This window comes from Homo sapiens, chromosome 1 (genome assembly GCF_000001405.40).
Source record: "Homo sapiens chromosome 1, GRCh38.p14 Primary Assembly".
NCBI lineage: Eukaryota > Metazoa > Chordata > Mammalia > Primates > Hominidae > Homo > Homo sapiens.
In genome coordinates, this window is record NC_000001.11 from 59,668,455 (window position 1) to 59,687,780 (window position 19,326).

Here is a 19,326-nt window from a genome sequence, read left to right on the forward strand (position 1 = left end):
CTTTGCTGTCCCTCATCCCCTACTTTCTTACCTCTGACTTCTGGCCAGGTCAAAGTCCCTGCCCCATTATATCCTCCATCCCCCTCTAAGCCACACAGATTCCTGCAGATGAGAGCCTTGTCTAACACGATGGACGTAACTGATCTTTGCACATCATGAGATGAAACTAAGTAAGTCACTTATTCCCAGCTTAGAGATAAGCAGACTGAGACACAAGTCTGAGGACAGTAAGAAAAGCATACAGTCAGCCGGGCACGGTGGCTCACGCCTGTGATCCCCACACTTTGGGAGGCCGAGGTGGGCGGATCACCTGAGGTCAGGAGTTCGAGACCAGCCTGACCAATATGGAGAAACCCCATCTCTACTAAAAATACAAAAAAAAAAAAATTAGCCAGGCGTGGTGGCGCATGCCTGTAATCCCAGCTACTGGGGAGGCTGAGGCAGGAGAATTGCTTGAACCTGGGAGGCGGAGGTTGCAGTGAGCCGAGATTGCGCCATTGCACTCCAGCCTGGGCAACAAGAGCAAAACTCCATCTCAAAAAAAAAAAAAAAAAAAAAGCATACAGTCTAAGGGCAGAACTATTGGGATGTGAAGTATAGAAAGTATTACCATTAACCAAGCACCTACTATGTGTCAGTGTGAATCACGCTGTAGACACTTAATCCTCCCATACCACCAAAGGTAGAAATCGGTGCCCCCATCTTACAGACAAGCAAGTTGATGGGTGGGTAGGTGAATTAAATTGGCTATCTAAAGTCAAACAGCCAGTATGGGGCAGGACCAATATTGTAACTGTGGTGTGTCGGGGCCCACCGTCCCTTTGTACTGTACTGCTGACCCAGGTTTCTTGACTTTTCTGCCAAGTTTGTAACCAGTTGATGATGACGCCACTTTCCTGAGATGTCCAAAACCCTATAGAAGTGGGCCGTTCAAAGCAGAAGGAGGAAAGACATAAAAAGAGCCCAGATTGCCTTATAATTGTCCTCAGGAGAAAAACCATAACATTTTATCTAAAAATCAGCTGGCTAGTTCAGATAACATTCAAGCTTAAAATTTGATCTGTGACATTCCAATTTCTAGACTTCTTTTTTTTTTTTTTTTTTTTTTTTTGTATTTTTTGGTAGAGACAGGGTTTCACCATGTTGGCCAGGCTGGTCTTGAACTCCTGACCTCAAGTGATCCACCCGCCTTGGCCTCCCAAAGTTCTGGGATTACAGGCATGAGCCACCGCACCCGGCCCCAATTTCCAGCCTTCTGATAGCCAAAAAACTTCCTATCTGGATGCAAGAGGAAAGATGAAAGTCAGCTTTGGAGAACACAGTACTCTAGAAAATGGGAAACAGGGCCTCCCAGAGCAGAACAGCTAGCTGTGAGTGACCCCGGCACTGACTCCGCGCTGCAGCCCTGGACTTTGTGAAAATGGGTCATCTTCCAGGCCCTACATCCCTGGGCTGACTCAGAAGCACGGCGGGGAGTGCAGCGGCTTCACAGAAAGTTCTGCTTTGGAAACTGTTCTCCTCTAGGCTGTTGAATGAAAAGGCTGTTAATCGTTATTTGGATTCCGATTGAAACTGGACCTTTTGTCTCTAACTATGGACCAGTTACAGTTCCAGACAAAGAGACCTTTTATTTAGCCTGGAATTCCTCTGCCTTTGGAAGCCTGTGACTGACAAGTGATGGCAAAGTGCATCTGCCTTTGAATGCTTTGGGTTCTGCTAAACTCATTAATGCATCAGATAAAATAGTTCACATTCCAGCCAAAGCTGCCCTCTTCCTCTCCTTCACCCAGGACTCAGAGAAAAGAACACATTTGCATTTGTCCCTGTAAAAGGCACGTACACAAGCAGCCAGTATAGAGGTAGTGTCATTGGTGCCTTTAAACATTGTATTGCTCTAGTTTTCCTACAAAGACAGTTAGGGAGGACTGTAGACCTGGAACATGATTCTCAGAAATGCATGTGAAAAACACATTCGAATTTGGGAGATTTTTTTGGAGATAGTGTGGAACAGTGGAAAAAGCAGATCAGCTCTGTGACTTTGGGCAAGTTACTTTACCTCTCTGAGCCTCAGTTCCCTCTTCTGAAACAAACAAACCAAAAAACATTATCATCTCCCTCATGTAGATCACTGCTGAGGAATAAATGCTTGCGAGTTTGTGAGCATCAAACTCTGTGCCTAGTCCAAGTAGGTGATCAGTAAATGTCAATTCTCTTATTCCATCTAGGAAGCCCCATGCCAAAAAGAAAGAGGGGCATTTGAGGGAAAAAAAAAAGCAGCTTATTATTTTGAAAGTGAATCTTTGCCATGTTGAGAACAGCCTGCTCTGTACAAGCAGGGAGAGCGGGGCCTTGCCAGCTTGGGAAATGCTGTCTACATGAGGAGGAAGAACCTCCTTGTACCCTGGTCATTTGGTTAACTGTGGTTTCAAGAAATACTTGGTATGTACTAAGTAATTGTTAAGTTTCCCCCACTGACTTGGGACTAAATGTTCCTTCTTCTAAGTTTTATTTTTTAGTACTGGTAGTTTCAGTAGGGGTTTCCCTCTTCTGGTCTTACTCATTATTTTAATTATTTGTTCTTTCATTTATTCACTCAAAAGCATTCTCTGTGCACACCAGTGTGCCAAGCCCTGAGGTTGGCACAGGGATGCTAAGAAGAACAGTAATGTCCAGCCAAGAGGTTCTTTATAAAACACAGAAAAAGTGCCCTTGGTCTTATGACCAATATCCAGAGTGAGTAGAGTGGGGACCCAGAGGACAAAATGTGTCGGTGTCAGTCAGGTCCAGGCAGGGAACAGATACACACTCCAGTTAGGTTAACCGGAGGGAAGTTGAATAGTCAGTGTACAGAGCTGTGGGCAGGGTGCTGGAAGCCCAGACAACCAAGAAGTACCTTGGGATACTAACAGTGTTTCCACCCCTGGGCTCACAAGGGTGAGGGTAGGGAGCAGGCAATCTGAGCCTGGTGGGATGTGTGAAGAGGGCAGCCCAGCAGAAGCTTAGCCAAGGATGAAACCAGAGGGCAGGGGCCCACAGCTGTGATCCCCACTGGCCAGTCTCCCAGGCTCAGAGTAGGTGGAGGGAGGAAGGGAAGAGGTGGGATTGGTCTTAGAGGCAAATGGAAGCAGTGGATTGATTTCACCCTGGGTAACAGGTGTGAGGAGAGACTTCAGAAGTAAGGTAAACTTTAAGAATAACAACTAATGCTAATTTAGTGCTTTCTCTAAGCCAAGCACCATTTTAAGAGCCTTATTATAATAGCAGTTTTAATTCTCACAGCAACTCTATGAGATAGGCGGAATTTTAACCCCATTTTTCAGATGAGAAAGCTGAGGCACGGAAAGATTAGGTATCTTGCCTAGGATCACACAGCTAAGTCAGTGGGGAAGCCAGGATTCAAACCCTGGCAGTCTGGGTTCAGAGCACTTTGGGCAGCAACTTGAGAGCTGATAGGGGATTCACCAGGTTCACTCACATCTCTGGTTCGCAAGGGGAGGGGCCTGTGAGTAGTTCCTCCCTGCTCACAACTCAGGGAGCTTTTGGCAGGGTAGGAAGGCCCGGGAAGTGAATGGTGTTTGGAGGCACTGTCTTCAAAAACGTCCCAGGTCCATAGAGAAGGCTTGATGGTCATAGTCGCACACCCATCTGTATCATTCCTAGGATTCTTCAACGGCTTGCAGTGCTCTCTCCTGCTGGTGTCAGCACAGCCCTGTAGTGTGGCCTGGCATCTGTCCTTCCCCTCTGGATGGTTGATGGGAACCTTTATTGTCCCTTCCCCACTTATCCAGTTTTTAGTCCAGGTCTAGTACATGCATAGAGGCTTCACTTGCCATCTACCTGAATTCTAACAGTAGCAGCCATCATTTCTCCAGGGCTTACTGTAGGCCAGGAAATATGCTAAGCACCAAGTGTGTGCCCTCTCATTAAGCCTCACAACACACCTGTGTGGTACATCTTATCATCATCCCCATTTTACATTTGGGATGATCCCCATTTGCATTTGGGAACCAAGGCTTAAAGAGTGTAAGTGACTTACTGGACACAGAGCTAGTGGAACCAGGAAATAAACTCAGGTCTGAGCTTCTCCCAGCATTCCCACCCCACCTGACACCATGTTGGCAATGTCTTAAGTCCTGGCCCAGTTGAGAGCTGGTATTCCTAAATTCTCTGGGGTGTCTGTGGGAATTTACTCCCCTGCCCTTTTTCTCTGGGTAGCTGGAGGAAAGAATTGAGTGGGGAAGTAATGGGATGTAGAGAGAGTGTCTTCTCAGACAAGATAGGAAAAGAAATCTAGGCTTTGGGAAAATAACTCTTATGGCTTGAGTAGAAGACAGTTTTTACACCACAAGTTTACCTCTGTAAAGTTTGCTGCCATCTCCCGATTAGCAGACTAATCTATACATTATAGACCTAAGAATCCTAAATTATTTCTGTTAATCTTAAACCTACCATGAACCCTCAACCTCTGGGCATTGGCATATGGAGGGCTCCTCCCTGCCTGGTGGACTCCTGCTCACCCTTCAGATGCCTGTTTAAGCCTCATCTCCACCGTAATCTGTGATGACCGCTACCCCAGAAATGTAAGTGACTCATCATTCAGTCACTTACCATGTGCTAGATACTGGTCTAAATGCCAGGGATTCCGCAGTAGTCAAAACAGAGTCCCTACCCTCAAGTAGCTTAAGTTTTTGGAGGGGAGACAGACATTAAACAAGATAAGTAAGTAAAATACAATGTTGGAAGGTGGGATGAAGCAGTTAAGGGGGTAAGGAGTGTTGAGGGAAGTTGTAATTTTAAATCTGATGGCCAGGGAAAGCTCAGTAGGAAGGTGATGTTTGCGGAAACACTTGAAGGATGGGCCGGCAATTAGCATGTGGGCATCTAGGAGGAAGTGTTCCAGACAGGGAACAGCATGGGTAAGGGCCCCGAGGCACACTCAGGAAGCAGCAAGGAGGCCAGGACTACGTGGCTGGAAGGAGAAGAGGAGGATATCAGAGAGGGAGAAGTGGGGCCAGATCTGGGAGGGAGAGCCCCTTGTCAGCCACTGTAAGGGCTGTGGCATGCACCCTGAGAGAGGGGAGAAGCCCCTGGAGGGATGAATCACACCCTCTCTTGCTATCTCCTTTCCCTTAGCACATCTCAGTTAGAGAACCAACCCCCTCCGTAGCCTTCATCTCTCTCATCCATTTCCCTCTGAAACCTGAATAGCAGGGCACAGTCCGATTCATCTCAGTATTCCCTCGGCCAGCAGAGCGCTTAATAAACATCAGTGGATCTGAACTTGAATCAAATGGCAGGTAGCAGCTTGCAGAAGCCTGAAAAACCTGGGCACTGAGGTCTCGTGAGTTGATATATATGGTGTTGGTTCCCTTGGGCTCTTGGCTACTGCACCAGCAGGCACAGGCAGTGAAATCTTTTAGAACCAAATAATCCCAAGGAATAAAGAAGGGAGGACTGCAGGGAGTCGGGCGGGGGGCCTGCTGCTGCCCTGATGTCAGGTGTTTTTGCCACTGCGGCTGCTTGTTGGCTCCTCACACTCCCCTGGCTCTGCTCCCTAACCAAGGTGTGGCCTTGTCCTGCGCAGGCATGCCTGTGGTCCTGTCGCAAGAGGTGGAGTCCGTTCTTGTGGGTGCTGCTGTTCTGGGTGCCTGTGCCTCAGGGGATTTCGCTTCTGTACAGGTATGTGAAGACCAGGGGGTGGGCTGTGGCTCCTCCCCTGTCTGAGGCCATCCTTCCTCTTGACAGCAGCTCGCATTTTACAAAATACACACAGGATATAATTAAGAAATGATAGGTTCCAGCCAGGGAAAGCACAAACACTTCTAGCCTCAGACATATTTATTGCAGTTTTCATTTGACTTGGCCTCGGTTCGTGTTGGTCGTTCTGTTTTTCAGTTGTTTTTTTTCTTTCTTCTTTAAAATACCTTTTAAATTATTCCTTTTAAATTTCCCCTTGACCACTTTTCTTTGAGCACATGAAACAGGTAAGGCTCAAAACTTCAGTGTTTCATGTGTATTTCAGATTTTTATTTGCTTATGTCAACCTCACCATTTTCTAAATACCTTGAAGGCCTCTATCAACAAGAGACACAAATGAAACTGTCAGTATGAAATAAAAAAGGAATTAAAAGGGAAAATAAGGAACAAAGATATAGGAAGAAGGAAACAATTTGGTGGCTGTGATTAAACACATAATTTGGCTCAGAGCTTCCTGGCAGGCAAGACAAAAAAGAACACATGATAAATTGCATAATTCTTACTTTCAAAAAGAGGAAACATACTAGTTTCTGGTGAGAGGGAAAACTTTTCCTCCCACCAAATTGCGAAAGACCTTGCACACATGGGGCTTTGTGGAGAGGTTTTGAGTGCTAAAATAATACAAGGTAAACAATGAATGTGGTATGGAAGCTAAGAGCATACAGGCTCTGGCATTAGACCACCTGGGCTCAAATCCTAGCTTGATTACCTACCAGCTCTTGTGGCCTAAACAGTCTTCTCTGTACTTCCACTCCTTTATCTGTAATAGTAATTGACAGCGCATCGTGAGTTCTGTGTGTCAAGCATGCTCATTTAGTCCCTGCAATAGCTCTATTATCCCCATTTTATAGTTGAGGAACCTGAGGCATAAAGAAGTTAAATAACTTGGCCTAAATGAAACAGCTAGTAAATGCCAGAATCAAGAAGTCTGGCTCCCACTTCTCAACTGAACGTTCAAGAGATATTTGTTCAGCAAAGCAGCAGAGTCCAAATGACTTGCCCATGGTCTCAAGCTTAGGACTACAAGCCAGGTATCTAGTAGCTCAGTAATTAGAGCTTTGTTTATTGTGAACCTCTTATGTTCCAGACACTATGCTAGGTGCTTTTTGTATAATCTTCCTAATACCTATAACAATGCTTCATGAGCCACAGAGATTGGGCCATAGAGATCCAAAATTTAAGGGTACACTATTGGGAACAGACAGATGTAAAAGTGTGATGCTGTTTGTACTGCATTTTGGAAAATGTGGTACACTACACACTATCCAAGCCTCTGAAACTAATGACTGTGAAATCTCCCTCACAAGGAATTAAATCCACTCATGAATTCTTGTGGATTCTGAGTGAGTCTTTAAACAAAGGTGGTATAGTTCAGTTCTCGACTTTTTCTGGATAGTCTCGTCCTTTCTCAAAAATAGCACATGGAGATATTTGTTGTTGAAATATCAATGAATTGTCAATTATTATTTTAGTGTATCAGCTGACGGAGATGTTCTCACAATTAAATATCTTGCCCTTCCTGCGGCAAATTATAATAGTTAAAACAGGGGGGATGCTTACTAAGGTTCTGCAGAGGTTACCCTGTGTTGTGAACTGAATATTTGTATTCCTGCAAAATTTGCCCTGACCCTCAATGTGATGGTATATGGAGGTGGGTCTTTGGGAGCTAATTAGGGTTAGATGAAATCATGAGGGCAGGAGCCTAGTCTGATGGGTTATGATGGTCTGATGGGCCCTTATACAAAGACACCAGAGAGCTGGCTTGTTCTCTCTGCCATGTGAGGACACAGCAAGAAGTCCATTTCTATAGGCCAAAAGAGGGCTCCCACGAGACCCTGACATTGCTGGCACCCTGATCTCAGACTTTGAGCCTCCAGAACTGTGAGAACATAGATTTCTGTTGTTTACCCAGTCTATGGCATTTTGTTATAGTAGCCTGAGATAAGACACCTCATTTAATCTTGACAGTCATCCTGCTTGCAGGATGCGTGTTTTTATCCTTCTGTGATAGGAAGCCAAGCTTCAGAGATGTTTTAAGTAATTTGTCCAAGGCTACACAGAAAGGGCAGAAGCAGAATTGAAATGAAGGTCTCTCTGGGTCTATATCTTATCCTGTCATTCTTTTTCTAATTTGTTCGATTTGTTTTTTCTTTAAAAATATTTTCTGGCTTCTTAAGTGTTCAGTGGTGTATTTTCTGAAAAGAAATGCCATAGGTCACAAATCAGGAGATAGTCTGTAGCTCAAACAGAGAATAGCCTTTCAAGATGAGGCTGCTATACTAGATACATCATACCATGACTCATGGCTTCATTGATATCTTATTCAAAACTGGGATCTCCAGCTCCAAAGGAATTCCACTCACATCTTCCCCTAATGGGAAACTGAGCTTAATTCCACACTGACATCTTGACTACATGAGATTTGCTGTTAGTCTTCTGTAACAGAATCTAAGATATAGTAGATCAGATTTGGAACTGATGACTTGAGTAGCAGCTGCAAGGCTCACAGCATTGTAAAGACAAGCTCATGTCTCCTATTCAACCCAAGGATGTGTGTGCCTGTCCTGATCGTTTTCAGGAGACACAATCTAGTAAAGGGAGCCACCAGCTGAGAGAGTCCTGAGGTCTTATCTGTCATCACTTACCTGACAGACTCCCCATAGTCTGGAGCTCTGTGCTTGCTTTACTGTCCTCAGACGATGTCACTTGTTCTCTCTGGGTGCTTGTTTTATTTGTCTGTTTTATGTATTTTTTTTAATGTTTAAATAAGAATTGCCACCCATATGGGACTATCGAGATAAAGAGCCTTTGAAAGTTCCAGTGACCTCTCAGGTGTAATCAATATCATTAGAATGATAAAATATTTGGAACTGCTTTGGAAATGAAAATGCATGTAGACTTGGCGTCATTTGCTCCCCTCCAAAGAAGAGGGGCCAACCTTTGTGCCCCAGGTCTGAGGACCAGCTTCAGATTCTGGCAAGGTGAGGCAAAATTGAATTGCTTTCTTTCTGTGATTCATATTTTCAACCTGAACTTCAACACAGTCTTTTCTTTGAACTTCAGGGACCCTGGCTTGGTTTGCAGGGTACCTGCCTTCCCCTCCTTAAGAAAGTTGAGCAATTCCTGCCAGCACCTCAACTATTCCAGCAAGTCAGATGTTTTATCTTCTCATGGACCACACATCTGGTGGTTAGATGGAGGATTTCACTTCTTATCTAGATAGGCCAATTTTGGTAGACTCAACCAGAGTCACCTCCTTCAGATGCTGGGAAGGCTGGGAAGAATCCAGAGGACCCAGACAGTAGAGGTAGGAAAAACTTTTATGTGCTTGAGGAGACAGGGTTTTCATAGGCCCCTGAATGGATGATTTTCAGCCGGGGGTAGAGTCCTATACCTTTCTTGGGTGATACCAATGGATCCACAGCTGTAGATTTTACTTGTAGCTTTTGTAGACTCTGTGTATCTCAATTCTGGGAGAATTTTATCAGGGGAAGGGAGACTGGATGGAATATTCTGGTGGGCCCTTAATGAAAGATTGGCCAACAACAAGATCTATTGATATTGCAAATTTTGAAACATGCTGACAATTCCTAGCTTCCTTCTTTTGTTCTTTTATCCATTCAGATTCTCCTTCTCTTAGTTTGTCTCTGTCTCTCTTCCCTTGTCCTTTCCTGCTCTCTCTCTCCCTTTAGACATCTAAAGTCTTCTTACTATTTCTTTGTCAAATTCGGATCTCACAAAGGATACTGACATAGCCATTCGTTCATTCTAAAGAATACAATGACTAATACTATCTTAAAGAGTTGCCCCTCTTTAGAAAGGGTGTTTTCCTTTTAGTAGTTTTCAAAACTGTGTCTTTACTAAAGAGAACAGTCTCCTTGTGGACAAGTATTCTTGAAGGCAAATCATGATCAGCTTTATATCTGCGGTTTAATGAAAAATATGGAATCAAGCCACAGATATGCTGCTCTCACAGTAAAAATTTAGCTATTGAATAAGTGGGAGGGGACACAAAGAAGGCAGTTCACTTCCCCTCCCTTTACTCTTAGGAATGTGGAATCCCTGCAGTCTTGACCTCTGTGACCTTTCTACTTGATCCCTCCCCCATCATCAGTAGAGTACAAAATGATCCTCTGTAATTCTGAATATCTTGGAAAACAAATAATTATAATTAGAAGCTGAGAGTGTTCCATAACACTTCTCTAGGCTCCCAGGTCCTGGAAAATCAATAAACTGGAAAAAAACTAAGTTTATGAAATATCACTATGCTTACACTTTCTAAGCACAGACAGTTAAAAGATTCTAAGAAATACAAGGACAAATAAATAAAACAAGAAGCAGTTTCAAGTCGTTGTGAGAGAAAACTCAATCAAATGGCAAAGAGACAGCAACATGAAATGGCTCTCCACTTTCTGTTTCCTTCAGGCCCCCTGCAGATGTCATTAGCTTTCTGTAATTTCTTATCTTCAGGGGCAGTTTTTATTCAAGTCTATTTAGACAAAACAAGCTTTAATTCCAGCAGTGCTATTTGTCTTGAACCACCACCCCCCACCCTTGAAAAAAAGGAGTGGAGGAAGCATCTGAAGCAAAAATCAGTAAAAGGAGACAGTGACAAGAGATCAAAATGCATTCAGCAGTCATTTTAAGGGGAGTACCAGTGTAAAGAAAATAAGCCCTTGGAATCAGCCAATTAATCACAGACCTTCCTTCCTCCCACTGTGTGAGTGTTGCCACCCCTGTAAACCACTGACTCCATGCACTCTCACCATCAACTTTCCCTGTCACGTTCCAGACAGACTCCTGTGTCTTCAAGACCAATACATGTAAGTGGCCAGTTGAGAGCTGTGATTACTCACCCTTTCTGTAATGTGTGCCCACAAGATAAACCATCCATGCTGACCGCAGTGGTCTACCCTTGAGGTCATTCCTTGCAAACATCCTCATTGCTTAGCTGAAACCTCTACTTCTGTTCTTTTTCATGAAATTCACTTCATTTAGGGCCAGTTATACTCATCACCTGTTATGCATTTCAGAGCCTATGATTTTTGTATATAACATGTCTCCCATTCTATTTTATTTTGTAAGAGTCAACTTTCTGTGATTTTTTTTTTTAGCTCTATTTGGCTTTCTGTCACGATAAATAACAGTTTTGCTATTTGCAAAATAAAGCTGATTATCATTATTTTAGTTTCCAGAGGTTAGAAAAAACTGAAATACCGTAGATGTTCAGAAGTATGAAACCATCCCATTTCTCGGTGCATTCAATTTAGTTTACTTGCATTTTTTTCTTTGTCTGGAATACTAACATTTCATGTTCATTGGGGACAAAAATAAGAAAATTTAATTAAGATGAGTGAAAATATGAAAACATTGATCTTGTTATCCTAAAATAACCTATTTTAAATTATTTACTTATTAACTATTTAATATTATGGTTTCTATTCTCTTAGTCTTTTTGTACATATTTTAAAATCATTTTATACTTTTAAATTACAAAATGTATTATACAATGCATAAAGTTTTATCTTTTTAGACCTTTTTCCTATACTCAAAAATATGTAGTAAACTTCTTTATTTATCATTTTTGTAGGCTGCATAATTTTCTACCTAATAGAATATATTATAGCTTATTTCACCAGTCCTCCAGACTTGAATATTTAGGTTTTCTCCATTGTTTTAAAGAATGCTGCAACTGACATCTCTGTTACTAAATGTTTGCACACATCCTAAATTATCTCTATAAAATAAAATTAGAGGCATATAATTGTTCAGGCAAAAAGTGTGCCCAGCATTTAGGGTTCTGATACATAGTAATAATTTATACTCCCATCAGTAGTGTCTGAAAACTCAGGGTTTACATTTCTTGTATATAAGGAATCTCTTGCCATGGATTTTAGTTCCATTTTAGTTCTATTTAGCTTTCATCCCCAGGCCTCTTATAATCCTACTTATTTCACATATGGTCCTGATATTATCAGCTTTTTTTTTTAGTAGCCTTTTGCCCTTTGCTGCTTAAGCATGTGTTTCTGGATGAGATTCTGATTCCTAATTAAATAGATTCAGATTACTGATTGAATTTTCTGAGTATCCTGTCCCATATGTCAGTGTCCCTCAGAAAGTCAACAGAAAACTTTGGAATGGTATAATAATTAATAATTGAAAGAAGAATTCAATTAAGAATATGAAGTTGGCCCTAACATTCATTATTCTTATTGCCACACCTGGTTAACAATACATTCTTTTTTTTTTTTTTTAAGAGTTTTTTCGACCCCTCCAGAAAAAAAAAAAAAATAGAATAAAACAAAAATAGATCAGGTTCTGATTAATTATAAAACCTCTGGTTTCAATCCAGTTTGCAGAATGATACCATGGGTATAAAAGTCAAAACATTAGCTGAAAATTGTAATTTTTTAAGGAAATTATTTCAATATAAGATACACATCATTTGACTCTCTTGTTCCTTACAGAGTGATCCAAGAACAGGACCTGTTACTTTCCATCCATTGTCATTTCATAGACCCCTTGAAGCAACCCAGTGGTTGGTAGCAGCAATCTTTGTGCAGATGAGGACTCTGAAGCTCAGAAATGTTGTATAACTTGTTTAATACAAAGCCCACGCTCTTTGTATTCCATCAGACCATATCCTGTAGATACATATACATTGCTAGGGAAGTACACTATGGCAACTGAGACACCTCTCACAAGGTGGTATCGTTTATAAAAAATAGCATTATGTATTTGTCATCATTGCTTGGTTGAGTGTCCAACACAGAAATAAAAATAAGCAGGGTGCCCTCTTTGGCATGGAAATATTCTAATTCATTTCCCCAGAGAATGACCATACTCACCAGTATTATTTTGCTCTACTTGTTTGCTTTTAATCATAATATATGCCTGTTTACTTTTTGTAGCTATAAAAAGGTAGATAAAAGAAGCACTTTAGGTAGATATAAAAAGCACTTTAATTAAGAACATGAATTAAAAGATACTTCAATAATGAAGTACAATAGATTAAGGAATACTTTAATAGATTAAAATAACTTGAATTAAAAGATACTTAAATGCTATTGTTATTAACACAAAGGTTTAGGCTAACAAAACGCATTTTCCCAAATATCTCTCTCACCTCCCCCCACAATTTTTATTCAGGAATGTAAGAATTGGGCTTTTATAAAAGCAACCAAGGGCTAAACATCTACTAAGTTCTTAGAAACTTTGAAGGATTACAGAACTCTCTTTCTATAATAAGGTTTACCTGTTTGACTTGATTTTGTTCAAGATGGCATTTCATACTGGTGTAAACCTAAACAAAAATGTGTAAGATTTATCTCATAGAAAGACGTGCCTGTAAGTAATTAATTCCTCACTCTAATTACTATTTATGCCTTTACTTTTTATTGTAAACATTCTTGTTGGAATAAACTAGAAATAGGTTTTTTTTCTTTACACTAAAATAACTCATGAATAGCAATGAAATCCATGCTGTATAATATTCAAATGAGAGATCAGGAAAGACAAGGCTTTTAGTTAAATCAGTAATATTCTGTGATGGGGAAAATTGCCTTGAAAAATACACACACACACACACACACATGCACACACACACACACATACATACTACTAGAAAAAGTTTGAGGTTCGATTCAGAGTGTGGAAGGTACAGTGTCTTAAAAGAGTTTCAGTTGCAGCATTTAGGCAGATGATCAAGAATATGCAGAAGAAAACAAAAGAAATCATAATTATAGTTTCCTAACAGAGGTATTTGATCCTCTGCAGTGAACCATAAAAAACTAGCGTGGGATCAGAATCTTGAGTAGCATGTATTTAATTGTATGCATTTCAAAGAAATTTGAACATTTTAAAAAGTTACACCATATGAAAAATTGTATATAAAGACATTTTCTATAATATTATAATAATTTTACAAATGAGGAAACAGGGTTAGAGAGAGTAAGTGAGTTACCAAAGCCAATGGCTAGAAAGTGAGAGAGGCAGAATCCAAGTACTAGCCTGGGATTCCCAAACCAAAGACTGTTCAGCTCAGCCACAAGTGGAAATGGATTCTTATGGGGCTAAGTGATTACCATTACTTTAAAAACTAGTATCAGAAATAGATGACAAGAATTTAAATGTATATCAAAATATCCCTTTGGTAAATGTTAGTGTCCTCACAGGTAAACAGAGGGCACCCTCAAATTTGAGTAATTTGAGAGGGTTTAAAAGAGGGACTGTTTACAAAATTGCAGTCATAGAGACATAGAGAAATCACAGGGAGAATGTGACCCTCGGGTTTGTAACAGCTGGGCCTGTAGAGGCGAGGGAAAAGTGCAGTTACTGGATGCCCAGAACAGAGGGCTGTGTGGAGACTGCACAGTGACCCTGGAAGAAAAGGGCTGCACTGTTAACCCTATTCTCCCTCTCTCTAATCTCCTGCCTGCCTCACCATTGGCTGGAATCAGAATCAGAGAGCAAGGGAACCTGTTGATGTATTCTGTAGAAGGCCACATCTCTAAGCTCAGAGGAGGGTGGGAAGGAATCTTCAGAAGCACTTGGAGACATTCAACTGAGTCACCCACCCTGGACTATTCAGAGCGGTCTGCAGACTAGAGGGCAGTCTCTAAATGGTTTGTTCAGATTTGCTATGAAACAAGGAACTTGCATCAGAATGTAAATCAATTATGTCACCAAGTGTACTGTTTAGTTCAGCTGTCATTTTATTCATAGCAAGATGTTCTCAATGAAGGAACCGGTGTGCTGGCTTACATCCTGGGGCCAACTCCTTTCACCACAGATGGGCCCTTTGAATAGCACTAAACTAGATTCCTTGCTCTGTAGGTAATGATAAAAACGCTGGAATCCCTTTCCTTGTTTTGATTTTCCTACCTTAACTTCTGCTAAAGAGAAGAATAACGAGTATTTTTCTGTACCTACCCTGAGCCTGGCACTGTGCTAAGGTACTTTAGATGACATTTAATTCTTGCAAGTTAGATTATTCACTTCATCTTTACAGACAAGAAACAGGGCCAGAAAGTTTAAGTAATGTGCCTGTGGTCTAGCAAGTGAGAGAGCCAGCACTCAAATTCAGATCTTACTCCAAAGTCCATGCCCCTCACTGTTTGTAGGCTATCCCAGGACTGTGCTTAAAATTATCTGACATTAACACCAAGAAATAAAGCAGGGTTGTTGGGGGATTGCCTTATATGGAGACCTATGACTATGTTCTGTATACATATGCTATGCATGATTCCTGGGAATAGATAAAACCCAGCTCCCCCCAAATCAGATGGCACTGTTTGTGAATACGATGTTACTCCACGTTACAAGGCCTTGTCCAGCCCAGCCAGCCAGGTCAGAGATGAATTCAGTTTGTTTCTAAGTGGCTGTTGTCTGTTGCCATCTCTTTTTAAACCTGGGAGGTCAGGAAGAAGATAGGGAGAAAGAATTCATGAGAGGGATGCATTTCCTTAGAAATGTTATTAATTGGCTGGGCAAAACAAGAGAAGGAAATAAAATAGCTGCTCCTTACTAAGTAAAGGCATCTTCTTCCCTTATCTCATTAAAAATTAAAAGCACTCTTGGTTTAAGTAGGGCAAATTAGTAATTAAGTGCTATATAATGAACTTGTATAAACAGAATATTGAAGGGGAAGCCAAATTAATCACTCTGCTGGCTTGTTTTTGCCCCCATTAATGCACCTTTTACTCAGGTCCTTCCTGTGATACCAGGATGCATTTTCTGCTCTCCTCTGCTGCTGGAGATTGGGTGGGCTGTGATAGTTGGGCTGACAGATGACAGTGGACTAGATCTGGAAAAGTCATGTGTAGGGGCCTCGATGGCCATTTCATTTTTTAAGCCAAGGCTCATCAGCACAAGCCTGCATGTGACGGGAACAGCCTTAGACAGTAGCAGGGCAAGGAAGAATTAGACACAATGTCGGTACCCAAGGAATTCCCAGTCTACTGGTGGCGGGAGGTTGGGCACAGATGGATACAGTTATGAAAAAGTCTAAGGTGTAATGGCAAAGACTATTTCCTTGGACTCAAATCTTGGCTCAGCCACTTACCTTGGGTGAGTTACTTAGTTTCTCTGTGTCTCAGAGGCCTCACCTGTGAAAGATTCCATTGCAATTACTCTGCAATGGAATGATGGAGCATTTGAGGAGTGACTTCCACTGTCTTAAGAGGGCTGGGAAAGTCTTCCAGAAGAGGCAACCTTTGGCTGGTGACGGAGCTAGAACTCAGGGTACCGTGGGACCCCCCAGGCCTATGCTCCTCATCTTTGCAGCATAGTGCCTCCTCTGAAAGCGGAAGAAGGAGCTTGGGCCTCAACCCAGGACAAATCTCTCTCCATTTCAGCTCAACATAGTAAATATTAGTAATAACATCTGGATCCTCAGTCTCATGATATGTTAGCAACTACCTGCCAAGTATGTGGGGTGAGGAGTAGAAAGAGTAAGTGAGCTGAGTCCATCACAGGCTGGGTAAGATGAAATCAAATGGAGCAGCAGAAAGTAGCCCTCTAAGTCACCTTGCTGAACCTCACGGTGATGCCATCTCCTCGGCTTGCTAGCTGTGTGAACACACCTGGCTGGGCAAGCTACTTAATTTCTCTGATCTCAGTTCCATATTAACTGACCCCATTGAGTTTCTGCAAAGATTCTGTGAATGAAAGCACATTTAGCACAATGCCTATTCAGCAGAAAAGTACTATTATCATTCCCTGTGTTCATTTGATCTTCACCACAACCCTATGAGGTAGGTGGCATCATTGTGCCACTCTATTAAGCAAGAAATTGAGGCACCAAGCTATTGAAAATCTCGCCTAAGGTCATCTAGATGGTTAGTGGCAGAACGATGGTTTAAACTCAAGTGGTCTGGCTCCAGCCCTGCCCTCTGCGTATCCCCCACAGCCCTGTGCTTTGGAGGGCACCTATAGCTAGGTTTGCATGTCACATGCTAGAAATAGGGTAGACGCTTCTCAAGGATGTCCGGACCTCTCTCTCACTACTGAGGAAGAAGTTATTTCCTTCTGCTTGAGGGAATGGTGGGGCAGAGCCTACAGCTGTGGTGACCCTTTGACAGGTGGGGCAGGTAGAGCAGGCACAAGTGACTCACCAGGGAGCATTAGCCCTAGGATGCAGTAGGAATGCAGCTGCTGCACTGATCTTGGCAGTTTTGATTAGTGAACAGAATAATTTATTTGTCATTCATACTCTGCTTCCATAAAGGATTTAAGAAAGCTTACAATAAGTGACTAAATAGTTACTGGAATAAAACTCATAAGTTAGAAATGATGTAAAAAGAGGAAAATACACATATATATACATATAAACATGGGAAGATACCAGCAAAGGACAAGGTGATTTGATTCTGTATCAGGTAGGAGAAAAGTACTAGAAAAGTATTAGTATTAATATTTGTATTCAAAGTACTGCCAAAGAATGTTGAAAATCAGATTGTTTTAATTCTGGATTGGTGAGTGCCACACCAAATATCTATGGGACAGATCTGGCTTATCTATGGGTCTCTGATCTGGACTAGGCAGTTATTATTATTTTTTTTTAAATGAGGTCTCGCTCTATTGCCCAGGCTGGAGCGCAGTGACATAATCATGGCTCACTGCAGCCTCAAACACCTGTTCAAGCAATCCCCTAGGGGGTTACTTTGACTGAACTTCAGGCAACCAAGGCAAAACTGGGAAAAGTGTCAAGTCATATGGAGTCAAAGAATTATACCAATTCTTTGAAAGAGACCACATTTTTCCTTATACCAAATTCTAAAATCATTATTTCTTTAAAAATGAACTTAGAAATCCTTCCATGGAACTCTTATAGAAGAAGGCAGAATTCATTATATACCACCTTGCTGAGAGCCCAGATCATAACATTGAAACCTGACTTCGGGTCTAGGATAGGCTGGGTTTATAGCTTTTTGGAGATGTCACTTGACTCAGTGATAGAACCAAGAATACCCAGTTTGGTAGAGAGATAGCATGTCCCTTCACCTTTTTCCATGAATATTCCTTCCCTTGGCCAGCTTTGCAAACAAAGCTGTGTTACTGACCTAGGAGTGTCTCATAGTACCTCAGTACTAAAGCTTTTTACAAGCCTGGCATCAGAGAAGTGCTAAAATGAAGCACCCGTCAATCGAGAAGGGCAACAGATGTTGAAGCATATCAAATATCAGTAAACAGCAAGCCACAGAGACTGCTGAACTTGGCATCCTCATAGCAAAAATACCCTGTTGCCTTTAAGAGAGAACGCTGTGGACTTTTATAAACCACATTAAGTGATGTATTTTTTTCTCCATTTGGACAATTGCTACCCTATGAAATATTTTCCCTGAAAGATGGTCTGCTATCCTCTATTATTTTTTTTTAATCTCTACTTTTTTAAGGGCAAACTTAATGCTCACAGAGTGTTCTAGGCTCTCAGCCCTGGAAATATAGGTCTCCAGAAATTGAGAGGAGTTTCATATTCAGCTTATCTAGTACCCTCTCTTTTACTATTAGCCGTATGATTCATATTATAAGTAATAAATCGAGCTGTATTTCAATCCTGTAGCTGTGCACTAGATTAGTCCCTTTACCTCTCTAAGCCTGCTTACTCATTTGTATAAAAATAAGACTATTAAGAACACATACCTCATGCAATTGTTGTGAAAATTAAATGAGATGATATGCAAGAAGTATTTGGCACAGTTGCTAGTATGAATAAACTCTCAATGAGAGGTATACAAAATTATAGCAATATTTATGATGATATCTATCATTACTATTAGCTGACTATAAGTCACATGCTGTATTAATGCTTTACATATATTACTGAAAGGTGGCTGGGCTGGTCCTTTGCCTGTTTGCTCTCAGAGAGTGCTCCTTCCCCTGCTCTGCTGTGTGTTACACTTCCTAGGCTCTCTTGCACCTGGCCTCTGAGCAGGCTTGGCCATTGGGAGGTAATGGTGGGAGAATGACTGATGTGCAGGCAGAAGTCAGGTCATTTCTCCCCTTCACTACAGCAGCAGCTGCATTTTCTGTCTGATTCCAGCTCCCAGCCTCTCTCAGATCCCAGTTCTGGCCACTCAGCTTTTCTTTGGTTTCCGTTCTATACTGACATTCCCTGTTCCTGGCTCTAGTCACACCACTGCCTCCTGTCATCCCTTGATTCCTAAGAGGGGTAGCATCTGTCTGCTGTCGGTAACCTCTGTGTGGCTTCAACAACCTGTTGGGCTTCTAGGTCTCTTCTGTCACTAATGAAACTAATTTCTTTTTTTTTTTTGAGACACAGTCTCACTCTGTCGCCCAGGCTGGAGTGCAGTGGCACAATCTCGGCTCACTGCAAGCTCTGCCTCCTGGGTTCACGCCATTCTCCTGCCTCAGCCTCCCGAGTAGCTGGGACTACAGGTACCCACCACCACACCTGGCTATTTTTTTTTTTTTTTTAAGTAGAGATGGTGTTTCACCGTGTTAGCCAGGATGACCTCGATCTCCTGACCTCGTGATCCACCCACCTCGGCCTCCTAAAGTGCTGGGATTACAGGCGTGAGCCACCACGTCTGGCTGAAACTAATTTCT

General features: G+C 41.9%; 1 protein-coding gene across 56 annotated transcripts in view, besides 2 other annotated features; it reads left to right on the forward strand.

Moving 5' to 3' along the window:
- The window catches only part of FGGY (FGGY carbohydrate kinase domain containing), a 466,353-nt gene that overhangs the window by 372,077 nt on the left and 74,950 nt on the right, over positions 1-19,326 (forward strand). For 51 of the 56 annotated variants that reach the window (NR_103473.2, XM_011541731.2, XM_047424383.1 and 48 more), the window contains one exon: positions 5,585-5,679. The exons of the other annotated variants lie outside the window; for them this stretch is intronic. Coding sequence is in view for 50 of the 51 variants with exons in the window: in XM_011541731.2 (XP_011540033.1) it covers positions 5,585-5,679 (95 nt within the window). In the remaining variant the exon portion in view is untranslated. The remainder of the gene's footprint in view (positions 1-5,584; positions 5,680-19,326) is intronic. 56 annotated transcript variants of the gene reach the window in all.
- Positions 844-1,398: an enhancer, noted in NCBI's record as "NANOG-H3K27ac-H3K4me1 hESC enhancer chr1:60134970-60135524 (GRCh37/hg19 assembly coordinates)". NCBI's record gives its function as "activates a minimal SCP1, AML or CMV promoter by ChIP-STARR-seq in primed H9 embryonic stem cells {active_cell/tissue: H9 hESC(primed)}" and the evidence as "EXISTENCE:reporter gene assay evidence [ECO:0000049][PMID:30033119]".
- Positions 5,059-5,586: an enhancer, noted in NCBI's record as "H3K4me1 hESC enhancer chr1:60139185-60139712 (GRCh37/hg19 assembly coordinates)". NCBI's record gives its function as "activates a minimal SCP1, AML or CMV promoter by ChIP-STARR-seq in primed H9 embryonic stem cells {active_cell/tissue: H9 hESC(primed)}" and the evidence as "EXISTENCE:reporter gene assay evidence [ECO:0000049][PMID:30033119]".